The 17,552-nt window shown below is 36.7% G+C and overlaps 1 long non-coding RNA gene across 1 annotated transcript; it reads left to right on the forward strand.

Moving 5' to 3' along the window:
* Positions 1 to 6,032: 6,032 nt before the first annotated feature.
* LOC107987180 (uncharacterized) lies at positions 6,033 to 17,552 on the forward strand. The gene is made up of 3 exons (XR_001749233.2): positions 6,033 to 6,734; positions 7,854 to 12,947; positions 13,382 to 17,552. It is a non-coding gene; the product is annotated as an uncharacterized LOC107987180 (long non-coding RNA).

Below are 17,552 nucleotides of genomic sequence, written 5' to 3' on the forward strand. Positions count from 1 at the left end.
CACTACAGATACTCCCTTACCACTTAATTAAGGGTCTTCTGTGTTGGTCTTCTATTTTTTCCATTTCCTCTTGAGAAAAGCAAGATATTACTGGACCTATAGCCCTACAGACCTCAAGAACTTGATGATGCCTTGGTTGCCCTGCCTCCAAATAGGTAGGTCTCATAATCTGCCAAGGAATAGAACGAATTTTACAAATGGGTAAAATAATATTTGACTTTTTCTTAGATAGAAACCTAAAAAAAGTCTTACTAGGAAAATGTGTACAACTAAAATCATATATAAGTTGATTTTGAATTTTCTGTTTGAAATAATAATAGATATTTGCTCTAATTTTTATATTGGAAAGTTAAAGTCATTTTTTTCCCAAAATTACCTAGCTAAAACCGGAAGATGCTAAAACTCAAAATAAATAACAATTATGGAAAATGTTCAGACAAGACCACTTAATGACATGTCTGAAACAAGACAGACGTTATTCTCATCTGATTAACATCCTCTCTTCTGATTAACATTAGTGATTGCTACTTTTTTACTAGTAACTACTCTGGGCCCACTTTAATTCTCCTGCCTCCCAGACTAAAAAAAAAAAAAAAAATAAGTCCACTTACTGACTTATCCCAGCTTCTTAAGAACATCCAGTACAGAACTGGACTCCATGTTTTAAAATCCAGCCTTCAACCATGCAATTCAAAGCCAAATCATATGTAAGAAGTTCCTGCAAACTCTCTTTTACTAGGACAACCCATGGTTTCTCTGGAGTGCATTCTTACTGGCAGCAGTAAGCTAAATAAATCTAACATGGACTTACAGATATGTTCCTAGAGCTCTTTGGTTGATGGCCTATAATAGCTTCTAGATTGTTTGGCTACATACAAGGTGGTGCTAAGGTATATTAAAAAGTAATATTTGAGAAAAAACTTCAAATTTCCTATTTTGTGTATGTTGAGTTTAGGATGCTTTTGAGACATTCAAACGATGTTAAAGTAGTGCTATCACAAAGGGGAAGCTTGGATACACCTTTAGAAGTTACCAACATATAAATGGAAATGGAAGTCAGGATATAGATGATATCACTCAGAGTAAAAAGCATAGGAAGGGAAGAATGAGAAACTATCACTGAATCTGGAATAACTCCAGTATGAAGGTTCTGTAGAGAAGGACTGACAAGAAAGGCTGAGAAAGTTCATCCAAAATTCAAGTACAAAAACCAAGAGCATATCATCACATAAACCAAAGAAGAGAATATGCCAGGGCCTATGGAGTGACCAATGTTTGAAAACATTTTAGAGAGCAAGTAAGAAGACAATTGAAAAATGCCCTTTGGAGTTTGTGATATAAGTATCAACTTGATTGGATTGAAGTATGCAAAGTACTGTTTCTGGGTGTGTCTGTGAGGGTGTTGCCAAAGGAGAGTAACATTTGAGTCAGTGGACTGGGAGAGGCAGACCCACGCTCAATGTGGGTGGGCACCATCTGATAGGCTGCCAGCGGTAGCAGAAGAAGGTGGGATAAGCTGACTTGCTGAGTCTTCTGGCCTTCAACTTTCTCTTGTGCTGGATGTGTCCCGCCCTGGAAAATCAGACTCCCAGTTATTCAGCTTTTGGACTCTTGGCCTTACACCAACGGTTTGCCAGGGGTTCTCAGGGTTTTTGTTTTTTGTTTTTTTTTTTTTTTTTTTTTTTTTGCTACAGATGGTCTGCTTCCCTACTTTTGAAGTTTTGGGACTTGGACTGGTTTCCCTTGCTCCTTAGCTTGCAGAAGGCTTATCATGGGACTTCACCTTCTGATTGTGTGAGTCAATACTCCTTAATAAACTCCCTTTATATATACATCTATCCTATTAATTCTGTCCCTCTAGAGAACCCTGATTTAATACAGAGTTCATCATTGGTATTTTTGTGAGAGATTTTTTCAGAGTTATGATGGAAACAGAAGCCAGATTAAATGGAATAGGAGTAAGTATGAGGCAAGCTAAGTGAAGAAAGAAGGAAGGATCATCCAGAAAAAGGGACAGCATGATAGTACTATAAGTAGTGGTTAAATGTATAGACTCTAGATTGAGACTGATAGAGTTCAAATTCCAAATTTGTCTCTTACTAGCTGTGTGACATTAGTCAATTATTTAACTTATTTGTGTCTCAGTTTCTCCATTTGTCAACTGGGGGTAAAACAGTAACTGACCACATGGGGTTGTGAGAAGGAATAGATCCATTAATACAGAGTCTTGAATGTAGAAATTTCTCAATGAATATTAGCAACAATTATTACAAAAACATATTACAAAAACACCCATAGGGGCTTGAAAATAGATCAATGTGAATGGTGGTTGTAGTGCTAAGACCTGAGAGATTGACAGGGTTGTGGACATAGAGGACCTTGATTGCCATGTTAATGAGGTAGATCTCCTCTCAAGCCATAGGATCCACTGAAGGAGTTTAATAAAGGAGTGATATGATTGTATTTCTATTTTAGAAAAATCACACTGACTGTTGGCTAGATGATGGATTGGAGCAGAACTGATGTGGGGGTTAGGACAGCAATTAGTAGCCTATTCCAAAAACCTAAAGGAAAAGTGATAATGCCTGGATTAAGACAGAGGAAGCAGAAATGAACAAGGAAAAAAAATTGTGAGAAAAGTCAAGGAGGTACTATTATTATGACTTGGTTTCTGATTGATATTGCAAGAGAGGGACAAAATGAAGTCTAGGATACACACCAAGCTGAGTGGCTGCTAGCTGAGTAATGCAGCCATTTACTGGGGCAGAAAATCCAGGAAGGACAAAGGGCTAAGGGGTTGCTTGGGAATTGGGAGGATGAATGCTCAGTTTTGGATATGTGGTATCTATTGGATATGGGACACCAAATGAAGATACACAACTTAGAACCCATAGGAAAATTTGAGCTCAAGATTTATAATTATTGTTTCAGACATGAATGTTCAAATAGTTACTGAGGAAGACTAGAGAGGAAAACATGCTTGAAAAATGTGTTATTCAGAAGAGTTAATTTAGGTAAATGATGGCAGTTGACAATAGACAAATGCTGAATCTTATTGAGAATTTAGTAGAAGACAAATAATGGCAACTTCTATAGCTGCCTAACATCCTCAAATGGGGTTCTTTTATTCAACAGTGGAGATTAAGGATGAGGAATAACAATAGGGACCAAGAAGAAGCCTAGCCCCTTTCTCTTCCCCTCAGCCTCCCAGCTTCTCCTTGTGGTCCAGGTCTTGTGAGAAAAATAAGCATTGTGCACTGGAGAGAGTGGCAGGAGAAGAAGTGCCTGGAGAGCTAGCCACACTTCAGGGAAGCACATGTATGGTAAAAAGGTAGATGGTGTAGGGTAGTTGGTTTTCTCTAAATGGGGACTTCCAGAGGACCTCAGTGGAAAGGATGGCAGCAGTAAGGGAGTGAGTGAGAAGAAGGAAGAACAGAGCAGTACAGTTAGAGCATAAAGAAGGCTAGATGATTGGAGGGACATGTTTTGTCCATTGGGGAAGGACAACAAGGTGAAGACATGTACTTCTGAATTTTTGGTTTTTCAAACAAAGCCCCTGAGGGACCTCAGATGGTCACTTTCTGTCTCTGTGGTAAGTGGTATGATAATTCCTCAGCCCAAGTAGTAGCTGTTGCATACTTATCTCAAGTGAAACCCTTTTCCTTACCTTCTTCCTGGCATGCTGTGCTCACATTTCCAGACCCATCTTAAATGTCATTCTCTCTAGAAATCTTCCCCAACTAACCTTAGCAGGCATAATTTTTCCTTCCTTTAAGCTTCCATGGCTTTTGGTGTACATATGTCATTGTAAGTAAAATATTCCCACTCTACAGTGGAAGTCAAAAAGATGTACATGATTTGCCCAAGGTGATCCAGATTTTCTGACTCCAAGACCAGTGTTCTTTGTTTTGTTTTGTTTTGTTACATGTAGACGCTTATGAGGCCACTCACAGGTGGCTTAGCCTTTTAAAAACAGAAAGGTACCAAACTCTAATAATCTTCTAGATTCATAGAAAATAGCTCCATGTTTGCCAGGATGGCTATTCTTTGCTTTTGCTCCAACGCAGGGGGTATGTTGCCTTGCTTCTGACATGTAGGAAGAATGCAGAGAACATGTTCCTCATGGAAAGGGACTCATGAATGGACCACTGCTCAGGTAACAAAACTATCAGGTGCGCATTTGGCACATGTGAAATGCTTACGAATTCCATGATTGGAAAGATATTTCTCTGTCAGACAATCCATTCTGTGGATAAAATGACTTGCCATTTTCAAAGGATCACAACATCTTTGTTTAGCCCCTACAATGTCTTGTTTTGTTTTAATTTTTACTTTACAAATAATAAGTATATATATTTATGGAGTACAACGTGATGTTTTTATATATGTATACACTGTGGAATGATTAAAGCAAACTAACATTTATCACTTCAACTATATTTTGGGGTGAGAACATTTAAAATGTACTCTTTTATTAATTTTGAAATATATATTATTACCTGTGGTTACCATGCTGTGCAATAGACCACTAAAACTTTTTATAAATGAAACTTTGTACCTTTTGACGAGCATTTCCCCTTTCCTCACCCTCCCACTGCCCAAGCCTCTGGTAGCAACCATTCTACTCTACTTCTATGAGCTCAACTTTTTTAGATTTCACATATAAGTGAGATAATGCTGTATTTGCACCTCTGTGCCTGTCATTTCACTGAACATAATGTTTTCCAGGTTCATCCATGTTACAGAAAATGACAGAATTTCCTCCTTTTTTAAGCCTACATGTTATTCCATGGTGTATATGCACCACATTTACTTTATCTCTTCATCCACTGATGGACACTTAGGTGGTTTCTGTATCTTGGTTATTTGTGAGTAATGATGCAACAAACATGGGAATTCAGGTGTCTCTTCTATGTACTGATTTCATTTCCTTTGGATATATATCCAGAAATAGGATAATAGGATTGCTGGATAATATTGTTATTCTGTTTTTAGGGTTTGTTTTGTTTTGTTGTTGTTGTTGTTGTTGTTTGAGCTGGAGTCTCACTCTGTCGCCCAGGCTGCAGTGTAGTGGCACAATCTTGGCTCACTGCAATCTACGCCTCCCCAGTTCCAGTGATTCTCCTGCCTCAGCCTCCTAAGTAGCTGGGATTACAGGCACGCACCAACACACCTGGCTAATTTTTGTATTTTTAGTAGAGACGGGGCTTCACCATGTTGGCCAGGCTGGTCTCCAACTCCTGAACTCAGGTGATCTGCCCACCTCGGCCTCCCAAAGTGCTTGGATTACAGGTGTGGAGCACCATGAGCGAGATTCCATCAAAAGAAGAGAAGAGAGGAGAGGAGAGGGGAGAGGGGAAATGGCAGAAGGGAGAGGGAAGAAACAACATGGGGATAGAAGCTGAAAGGTCACAGTATATAAAGAAACTCCAGAGACAGTGTTTGACCATGTGAAGCCAATGTTATGGGGAATTAACAACTATATATGAAGAGATCATGAGAGAGGAGAGATTAAGGCAATACAGACGGAAAGACAGAAATGTCATAAGATCCAAGGAGGTAGAGGGAACACCTGATACCTGAGTTGCTTTCTGGAAGCCAAAGAACCACTATTCCTATGGTTTTTCCTTTCCATTCACTGTCTATTGTCTCCCAGCCTTCTTTGCAGATTCTTCTCTATTTTTCCTTTAAATATTAGTCTTCTTCATTCAGAGCTCTGACCTTGGGCTTTCTTCAACCTATTCTCTTTCCAAGGGGCATGGCCATGGCTTCCCATACTGCCAATATACTGATGAGGCCCAGATATTAATTTCTAGGATCTCTCTCCTGAGTTCGAGTCCTGCTTATCCAGATGCCTGGTGAATATTGCCGCTCCCCAAATACATTTTACTAGCCCTCAAAATGAAATTATCTAAAATGGAACTTCCCTGTCAAAACTTCCCTTTTTTTTAGTACTTCTTTTTGGTGAAGGAAACCCTCAGCTGAAAACCAAAAATCATCCTAGGAAGCTCTCTCCTTTTAATTCACTTAAACATTGTTATATTCATTCTACCTTTTTCATTTCTTTTGACTCCCTCTTCTTCCAGTCCCACTGCTACTGTCTAAGCTCAGGGCCTCTGAGCTGCCCTTTTAGTTTCCTGGCATCAGTATCCTAACCCTGCTCATAACTCTTCTGTGGCCATCCGATGTTCTTACAGGAAACCCTCAACATTTTCGCATGGCATTCAAATCCTCCATGAGGCTTCCCCTGGCTATTTCATCAACATAATATTTTGCTGCACTCCATCTAACCCCAGGTTTCAAGTTATCCAGACTTTCTGTGACTCCCACAACATCTCAAGTTGTTCCCTCCATCTGGACTTTGCTCTCCCTAGTCTCCCTTCCAGGAAAGCTAACTTCCCTCTCTCTTCCTGTCAACACTTTCCTATGTTGTCCTTTAATATTTATGATCCTGCCTCCACAGGAAATCGCTATCTTTTTATTATGTCCCAACTATACTCTGTACAGATGCCTATGACAACATCGATAGCACTTTATTACACTTAATTTTAAAACTTTTGCATCCCTCTATTTGACCTGGAGGAGCAGAAAATATATCATTTTAACTGTTTGTCCTATGCCTAGCAGTGAAAGCATTCAGAATATGCTTTGGAGGAAAGGAAGGAAATTAACACACTGATCCTCTATGGAGAAAATAAATTAGTCCATCCTCTGAGAGAAAAGAATAATTCAAGGTAAGTGAAGTCATGAAATGCAGTGGTCATAATTCAAAATGCTCACACAGACACACACACACACACCCCACACCACACAAAGCTTTTTTACGGAGGACAAAAAAGGGTATCATCTTCTTCCTCAGAAAGATGTAACATCACCTCAACAATTGGAAGCAGAAACCTTCAAAGGTAGGATAACTAAGCAAAGAAGACAATTCTTGAACTACATAGATAAATTCTCAGGTATATAAAGACATTTTATTTACATACGTATCTTAGCAAGAATGCTAGGCAGTAGGCAACTGGAGTTTGCTCCACGTTGATTCTTGTAAAGAGAAATTGAAGTCCTTCACAGAGGCATGGTCCCAAGTACGCTGGCAGACAGGAGGCAGGAAGGGCTCTGTCACAGCTGATAACAGTGCTAAAGAGTCAATTAGTCTCTAATTAGCTGAGGAAAAGCTGCTGCTGATGTTTCTGTGAGCCTAAAGAAATGTTTTAAGGACAGTTGAAATTGGAATGTAATCATCTCTGTTTAGGATGTAATAAATGATGCATGTAATCAAGGATGAGAGAGGACCTTCACTGCTCTAGCTAGTCTGGGTTACATGGGCTAAGGTACTGAATGAGAAATTGGGGCTGTGAGTTATTAGCCAGGTGTTCCTCCCGTTTGTACTGTGGTATTTAAGTGCACAATCATGTGCCACCCATCAGTCCAGGAGTGAAGGAAACTGCTAAGGCCAAGGAGGCACACTGAGTTTGGGTTGAGAAAGAGCACAGGAAACAGGGAGGAGCCCTTGATGAACGGGCTTCTTCATCCAACAACTCTGCACCTTCTCACAGTTTCTGGGGAAAAGGGACTGAGAGAAAGAACTTTTGCCTCTCAGAATGGAATGGTAAATGGCAAGCTGAATATTCTAGTCAAGAATGGGAGTTTGCTTTGGCTTCCACATTTTGAGAATGATTTCTTCCTTAATGTAATGTATCCTGAGGGAACTGGGGGCAGGCAATGCATAATTTCTCCCTTGGCAGTTCTTCTGCCCCAGAACTGTAGGCATAGAGTTGAGTTGATGCTTGCATATGTTTCCTTTGTGTGAAACATTCTCTTTCATCTCTACTTCATGCCTTCTTATTCTCCAGGATTCCTCATGCACATCAATTCCTGAGGGAAGCATTTCCTGATATTCTGCCCACACCTCTACCACCACCTAAGATAGGGGTAAGAACATCATCTAGGTCACTCTCATATGTGATTATTGGATCACATAAACATTATAGTACCATGGCCTATTTATGTATCTACCTACAATATTGGATATGAATTCTTCATAGATAGAAATCATCTGATTCATCTTTGAATCTCCAGGTTCTGACATGGAGATTCTCATTCAATTAAGGTTTATTGAACTAAACTATATAAGATAAGGCAAAGCTGGTTATAATGCAATATTCAAAATGGAAGCATTAAAGATATTGTAATGTACTTCCCAGGGTAAAGGACAACCTAAGGAGTAGTAGGCCTGGAAAATGGGAATAAAAATGGCATAGCTAAACTATTTCTGGACCATGGACCTTTTGACAGTCTGGAAATGCCTTTATACTTCTTCTCTGACAATGTTTCAAATACATAGTAAAATACGTAATATGACAAACTAAAGTATTTCTTGACGAAAATGTAGAAAATCTTTGTGACCTTTGGTTAAGAAAATCTTTCTCAGGACACAAAAACACAAACCATAAGCCAAAAAATTGACAAATTGGACTTAGTCAAAATTGTAAATGTCTGCACTTCAAAAGAACTGTTAAGAAAATGAAATACAGGCCACACATTGATAAAAGAAAAACTGCAAAGCACGCACCTGATAACTTGCATGCAGAATACATAAATAACAAAACATTCAACTCAGTAAAAAGAAAGGCAAAGAGTTGGAACAAATGTCCATCAATGAAGATGTACAGATGGCCAATAAACACATGGAAAAATACACAATATCATTAGTCATCAGGGGAAATAGAAATCAAAAGTACAAAGAGATATCACTATACTGCCAATAGAATGGTTAAAATTAAAAGAATTGATAACATTAATCATTGGAGACAATACAGAACAACCAGAGCACTAATATGTTGTGGATGGGAATATGAACAATAGGGTTATTTTGGAGAACAATGTGACAGACTTTTATAAAGTTAAACATATACTTACCCTATGACCCAACAATTCCACTCATAGATATTTACTCAAGAGGAATGAAAACATATGTTCACACAGCAAATGTTAATAGTTGTTTTATTCACAGTAGCCAAAATTCCATTAACAGGAAAATGGCTAAAAATATTGTGGTATATTCATACAATGGAATACAGCTAAGCAGCAAAAATGGACAAACTACCAATATATGCAACAACACGGGTGAATTTCAAAATCTCATTATACTAAGTGGCTAAGTAAAATAAGCCAGGCACAATAGACTACATGTTATATGGTTCATTTATATGACATTCTAGAAAAACTGTGGAAACAGAAAACATATCACTGGTTGCCTGTGGACTGTGAGGGAAGAGAGGCATTGTCTACAAAGAAACATGCGGGAATTTTCTGCAGTGATTGAAAATATCCCAAATCTTAATTTTGGTTGTAGATATACAACTTGTATGTTTGTTAAAACTCACTGAACTGTATACTTAAAAGGGGTCAGTATTACTGCATGTAAATTATTTTTCAATAAAGCCTGAGTTTTTTTTAATCTTAAAGTTTTATCAGAGAGAAATTATGAGTTACTAGTTATTAGTGTTACTAAAGCTAACTTGCCCTTTTAGAGAATTCAAGCTCAGGTTTTCCCCCCGCCCAAAGGAAAGGCATTTGTTCATGCTCTAAATACTGAGAGGAACAGATGCATTGGCTCAGCAACTTACTGAGTTTGTATGCTATTTGGAAATTGGATTGCTTTGATAAATTACTTGCTAGCCAAGAAGAGCATTAAGGGATTATTTGTCCGCCATGATTTCAAATTTTTCCCTAATGATAAAATCATTTGAAATAAAAGAGTGCAGCCAAAGTAGTTTTACTTGGGAAGATATTATTTCATACATAGACATGTCAGAAACAGTGTAAGCATGAAAAGGAAATATATTCTAATGTTCCCTTTTTTACTTACTTTGTTGTAAATAATAGCACCAAACAATTTCAATCCTAAATAGCACATACTTCAGAATTCCCTTTAAGTGCTTATCATCTTAAAGACTTGAAATCATATGTGGTTGTGGGTGTTGTAAACTTCACTCTTCAATTTGAATCTTTACTTCTCAGTTCATTTTAATACCTGCATTAATTCTAACGATTTGGGGAGACTACTAGATTATAGCACTGTTTTAGCATGTTTATGTGCTCTAATATTTGCCTACTGCATTACATAGCACACTTTCTTTTAATAGGACTCTATGTGTTTTAAGAATTTCCTTGCAAATAATTGATATTTAAATCAATAAGGACTCTACGTGTTTTAAGAATTTCCTTGCAAATAATTGATATTTGAATCAATAATGCAAAGAAAAATGTTAAAATCTTCATAAAGGAAATTTCTTTCATTTATTTGTTAATAAAACATTAACATTATCCGCCTTATCCAAAACAATTGTTTCTCATGTACAGTTTATGGAATGAAAAGCCACTGCTTATTTTAAATGAGTTCCTGTGTAACTGTCAAATTAAATGAACTAATTCTTACCTTTAGGCCTTTTCAACATTTTGTCATAACATTAGTTGTTTTAATGAACTGGTGGTAGATAGTTTAGTTATTTCCAATTTTTTTTATTGCGAGAAAGACCAACTAACTACCAAGTTAGCACATATTTTTACATTTTTCCTTGTACAGAGTTGAGCTTCAGGTAATTGTTTACTGTCTTTACATGAAGCTATTCTTTTACATATCTAGATCTGCTGATGTCTGACACACTAGCTACTGGCCACATAGAATTATTGAAATTAATTAAAATTAAATTAAAAGTGTGGTGATCCTAGATAAATTTCATGTGCTCAATAGCCACATGTGGTTTGTGGCTATCCTATTGCTCAGCACAAATATAGAATATTTTTATCATCACAGCCGTTGTATTACTTACTGCTTGTCTAGTCCAGGGTCAGAAAACCTTTTCTTAAAGTATTAGATAGTAAATATTTTAGGATTTATGGGACAAGAGGCAAAATTGAATCTATCATTTAGGTACTTATTTAACCATGTGAAAAAATCAACCCATTCAAATATGGAAAAACCATTCTTCACATGAAGGCTGTAAAAAACAGGCAATAGGCTGGATTCGAGCCATAATTTGCCTACTCGTGGTATAGATCATTCAATCCTATATTCATTAAGCACATCTTTATTGAGCGCCTCTATCTTTTAAGCAGTGGCCTAAATATTAAGCTTAGTGAACAGAGAAACAGTTCCAACTCTCCTGGGGTTCAAAACATAACAGAAAAGACATATCAAAAATTAGACAATTATTCAATTGTTATAATTTGACAAGTACAACGAAGGAAATGTAGAAGATGTGCAGGGAAAACTAAACCAGCCTAAAAATTAACTTGACCCTAAAAATTATCTGCAACTAATATTATGTTTTAATATGTGCCAAGTGCTGTTTATTTTAAACTTTCCAACTGATCTACGTGAAAAAGATGCTGTATACATTAATGAATCCAGCTAATATTTTTAATGGATTAATGTTCAGATGTATAATGTTCTCATAAACCATCTGTTCTATAAATCTGAAATAATGGTACATCTAATGATAAAAATGATGTTTGAAAAAATAATATTTGTTGATATTTATAATTTTCTTTTACTTTTCTTTATCTAGAATCTTTTGTAAGAATAAAAATGTATGAATTGAATGTTTCCTTGTAATCAGAAAAACTTGCCACAGATTACTCCTAATAGGGCCCGTACTTTCTATTAATTGCTTTAATCAAAATTCAAATTGAGTTCCTCATTAAATAAAATATTGTGATGCACATAAAACCAGCCAACTTTGACAGACTTTTTTTAGGACACATGACTTCTTTTTATTTATGAAAACTCAGTACATATAGTCAGCAAAGCAAAATAAAAATATATTCTCCATGATCCCTATACTAGCAATGTTCCTCAATATTATATTTGAGTTTCTTAGGCCTTTCTGGCATTTTGCAGTTTACTTAAATGCTGCCTTTTTATTGTTAGTGTCAAGAACTTTATATAAATCTAAATATTTGATCACTGAGCATGTGTGTGTAAGAGAGACTTGAGCAAGCAGAAATCATTTTAAATTGGGCACACGCCCTAAATGACAAATAGGCCAAATTGAAATTGCTTTTAGAGATTAAATCATGTGCCACATATCTGCTTTGTTGCAATAAATAAACCCCAAACTGTTAATTATGGCATTTATATATCAAGATGAGGATGAAATAAAGAGAATGAAATATTTCCCAAGGTCATAACATTGAATGTTTATTCTTCAGTTTCACTAAAATTAACAGGCCCAGAAGTAAATCCTTCTACTGTCTCAGAGTTACATTGTTCTTTCCTGGTGACAAATTAAGTGTTCCAAGAAATTATAATTTGACATTCCCTTTATATTTTCTTAGAACAATGCATGTTGGAATGATGCCAAGAATATTGGAATTTAAAACCAAATAAAAAAAAGTAATGACTGAGTCCATCAAGAAAAAAAGATTCTGCCTCTGAATTGCTAGCTGCAGCACTGCTTTTTGATCACTTTTGCACAATTCGTAGCATAGAGCTGCTACTGTTGTTCTTTAATACAGCTTTTTACATATAAATTAGCTTCTGGTGCCCTCAAGGTAAATGTCCTCAGTTTATCTTTATTGAGAAAAAAAAAGTGATAGCCATTTAATTTACAGGATTGAAGCCCTTCCACAGTAATAAGGTCTTGCTGTCATCTGGGGAGAAGTCATAAGGGATTTTGACCACTGGTGTACATTTTCCTTGTGGAACATGGAACTTCTAAGCATCTGATGATAAATTCGTAGATTCTTTTATCCTGTGCATCCTCCATCTTCCTCCTTCATCTTTAGGAAGGGGCTAGGCTCCAACTCGCTCACACAATACCATCACCACTGAACTTGGCGGTACTCTTCCGATGATTTCCATTTGTTGGAAACTTGACACAGGAATTGGTGTTGGTGCAGAGGTGGAAGACGGACACAGTCTGCTGCTGAGGCCATAAGAGGTGATAATATAGATGCATTAGGCTGTCTAGTACCTACACCACCCTTTGTTTCTACATGGAATCTTCGTCAGTTAGATCAGTATGTCCTAATACTGATTCTTGAGGTCTCACCACATCCAAATGTTGTTTGGCACAGTTTCTACTTGCATTTCCACCATATCTTATGTCATTGAGGCCCCTCAGTTTTCTTACTGAGTCTATCAGCCCCACAGGAAAGCTCAAAATTTTGCCAGCATCTCCTTTCCCCCAGCAGAAGCTCCCTGCTGGGTTAAGATCAATCCTCAGCCACTAGGGAAAATGACAACCAAAAATTGCCAGCTTGTTTCAGAGTGATTCTCCTTTCCTTGGAATTTTTGTTCGTTCTGTTTTCTTACTCTGATATCTTTAAAAATGTGTTTATTTGTGGTTTATTTGCCTTTTTCTGGTTGTTGCAGTGTGTTGGCCTGTGGTGACCTGCCTGACAACAGACCTACTAATTTCATTTCAACATGCTGACGTATGTCTACTGTACCTCATCAATGGCTCTGTTCTGCAGAGCAAAAGGAAAACCTACCACAATGCATTTGATTCGATGAAGAGATAGAACTTAGTACAGAGTTGTATTGCTTAGAGTTTGGAAACAAACTATAATCATTTTTATTGGTATATGTTTGAAGTTACCACAGAGGCACAAAACTTTTTTTAAAAAATCAAGCACACACAAAGAAACAAAAGTTGAAAGTTGTTCACTGGTAACCTATCTTTTTAAAAAATAGTGCTAAAGAAAGGAATTCCTGGGAAGCATATATATATATATATATATATATATATATGTGTGTGTGTATTTATTGTGTATATATATTTACATTCTTATTTTAGACAGAACTATTCATATGCATTTTATTAATAAAATGTTTAGGAACCCACTTCCCACCTTCATATGTGTGCTTTTAACTTTTGAGCATCAGGAGTAACAACTGAGGAAAACGTCTAAGCGTGTTAAGTCTGCTCATACACCCTCATTTATCCCCCAACAATACACACACAACCTGCATGTATATACATAAATGGTACTTAATGGCATGTGAATTTTATCAGCTTACTCTATTCTGTTGAATGCTTTAAGGCACAGATTAATATTCTTACAAATTGTTTTATATATTTTAAATATACTTTTTACTTCAAGATAATTTTAGACTTACAGAAAAGTAGGAAAAAGAGTTCTCATATACCTCTTACCCCAGTTTTCTCTAATGTTACACCTTACATTCCCACAGCGTGTGTGTCAAAAGTAAAAAAGAAACATTGGATTATTACCATATTAACTTAACTCCAGACTTTATTTGGATTTCAACAGTTTTCCATTAATGTCTTCTTTCTCTTTCATGACCTAATTCAGAATACCACATTGTATATAGTGTTTTGTGATTTTTTAAAAAAATGGATGTTTTATAAGGTTCCACATTTTTTAATTCAGTGTCTTGTTTGTGCTTCTATATAAGCATTTAATGCAACAGTGTTCATCTGAGTATTGCTTTTGAGTGCCAAAATACCATGTTTTTCACACTCCAAACTCTCAGGAAGGCTTCCGAAGACAACTTGTCCCTTATTTATAATACTATATATTAAAGTAACTGAAAGTATTCAAAATAATGCTTACTTTGTGCAGAGTCCATGAACTCTAACCAAAATACATAAATGTCAAATTTGAGCAATACATTTTGATTGATTTTAAAATTCCATTTGAGGCACTACTTTTCTGAATAGATGCCCAAGGAAAATATTTTAAAATATTGTTGTATTAAAAAATTGTTTCCTATAGAATCTGAAAAGTTCTTTAGGTAGACTTTTAGTAAAATGTTTGAACAGTTTAAATGCTATTTCAGACTGTCAGAATGATGAATGTTTTTAAATTATTTTCATAATGATTTATCACTCCAGTTTACAGTACTTGAAAAATTTTTTTCGCTTCACCTAAATAACTGGCATTTTTGTGTTATGTTCTTTTCCTCGTTTTATACTCTGCTCTGAAGCACTTTCAAATTAAAAAAAGAACAGTATTGTATTCTAGGGCCATTAGTGAATGTGCATGAGCTATTATAGTCAATGAAATAAGCATTATATGATTGAAGATTAACTAAGAAAATGGATTATGGTGTAATTAAAAACACCAAGATAGGCGGGATGCAGTGGTTTATGCCTGTAATCCCAGCACTTTAAGAGACCAAGGCAGGCAGATTACCTGAGGTTAGGAGTTCGAGACCAGCCTGGCTAACATGGCGAAACTCTGTCTCTACTAAAAATACAAAAATTAGCCGAGCGTGGTGGCAGGCGTCTGTAGTCCCAGCTACTTGGGAGGCTGAGGCAGGAGAATTGCCTGAACCCAGGAGGAGGAGGTTCCAGTGAGCCTAGATCATGCCACTGTACTCCATCCTGGGTGACAAGAGCAAGACTCTTGTCTCAAAAAAACAAAACAAAACAAAACAAAAACACCAAGATATTCCTGGAAAAGCTATGAAAATATGTTTTTCAGTTAAGGGGAAGCACTTATCAATGCTGCCAGTCCTGGTAAAGATTGTCAACTCTAACATAATATAAAGCAGGCATTTCTTGTAATAAATATGAAGAGGATATTAGCCTTGATCTTAGCATAACTCTCTTCCAGGTAGGACTCCAGCTTCTGAAAGTAATTTTGTAATGCTCATCAACTGAAGATGACTGTAAAGCTTGGCACCAGTTCCTGGAGGCAGCCATGTTTCTGATTAAAGTCTGGGCCTAGAGAGCTGTATGGAAAGGTTTGGAATAGAGGTGATTTAGCCTAAAGAAAATTGCTAAACCATGGGTTACACACTGGTGGCCTGTAGTCCTATTTTGTTAGACACAGACAATGGATTTTATTTGTTTTTCATATTTGAATTAATTTCTGAATTCTTGAATATTGGCAGATTATGCTACAGGAATCTAAATTACTCTCATTTCTGCATGTCATTAAAAAAGTAGAGATGAGTAGCAGGCCCCTTTTCCCTGGGGCATGTGCTTCCCAGCTACATACACAGCACCCACCACACCAGAGTTTCCCTACCTGGCAACTACCAGTTATCATCACTCCTTAAGCAGCTGTTTTCTTACAGTGAAGAAGTTCCGTTTCCATGGTGCTATCAAAAGTAAGAAAAGGAACTATAGTTTGAGAGGCTGTGTTCTTAACCCATTGATGCTCCTAATGGGCCCTGAAGATATTTGACCTTGTGACCATGTGTAATAAGGTGATACATGTTCATCAAATTGTGGTGTCCTCCTCCCCTGACTTTCAAATGGAATTCAGATACAATTTTTACCCTTATTACGATTACCTACAATTATAATTATGCTACTTCTAAGTATATGACCTGGGGCAAGTTTCTTGACCTCTCTATGCCTCACATTCCTCAACCATAAATAGGGGATAAAAATAGTACCTATATCATAGAGTTGTCAAAAGAATTACATGAGTTAATGTGTGGAAAGCACTGAAGATAGTGCCTGGTAAATACAATGTACCATGTAAGTGTTCACTGTTGCAGTCCTCATTTATTTTCTGATTATACTAACATTTCACTTATTCTGTGTTGCTCATGTCACCTCCTAATTTGTAAGTGACTGGTAGAAAGAAACTTGTCCCAAGGGTATCTGACCTTCACCCACACTCAGCACTTCCATCAGTCTGCATCAGTTTTAGGGCCTGGAGATGTATTTGCACATATTGAAGGAGGTAAATAACTACAGTGAATAAGATAACATTCAGAAATTCAGGACTGCGACCTTAGAGATCATCTAGTCCAGGAGTTGGCAAGCTTTTTCTGTATGGGACCAGACTGTAAATATTTTGGCTTTGTGGCCATATTGTCTCTGTGGCAACTACTCAACTCTGCTGGTGCAATGCAAAAGAAGCCATGGGTTATATGGAATGAATAGGTGTGGCTGTGTTCCAATAACACTTTATTTATAGACACTGAAATTTGAATTGCATATAATTTTCACATGTCATTAAATATTATTCTTCTTTTGATTTTTTTTCAACCTTTTAAAAATGTAAAAACCATTCTCAGCTCTGGGCTATAAAAAACAGGTGGAAGATTTCACCCAGGAATTCCACCTGGGGATTTTTGTTGAACAGTGAAGCTACCTGGGCCCCACTCCAAACCCATTGAATAAAAATCTCTGGGTGGTGGGGCAATGGAATCTGTGCTGTGAACATGCGTGTGATCCCTACCAGTGTGGCTCTAGGGACCACACTTTAAGAAACTACCCAAGTGTGGAGACTTTATGGCCCTCCTCACAGATCTAAAAATGATTTATTAAGGTTGGTTATAACAAGTACCACACTGCAAATATGAATATGATCACTTTTGTCTTAAATTACTTAAATTTACTCTTCACATTCTCTTATTTTTATTATCAAAATTTCTTGTAGACAAAGGTCATTATTTTCTTCTACTATGTTTAAGGAATGTGACAGCACCTTGAACTTACCCTAAAATCACTGTACATTAGAGAAATCCTATTTCATGTTTTCATCAATGTGGGAATATGTGCATGTTTAGTGACATTCTTTGTGGTGGCAAAAAGTAAAATAAACTCTGAAAATAA

Source organism: Homo sapiens, chromosome 12 (genome assembly GCF_000001405.40).
Source record: "Homo sapiens chromosome 12, GRCh38.p14 Primary Assembly".
Classification (NCBI taxonomy): domain Eukaryota; kingdom Metazoa; phylum Chordata; class Mammalia; order Primates; family Hominidae; genus Homo; species Homo sapiens.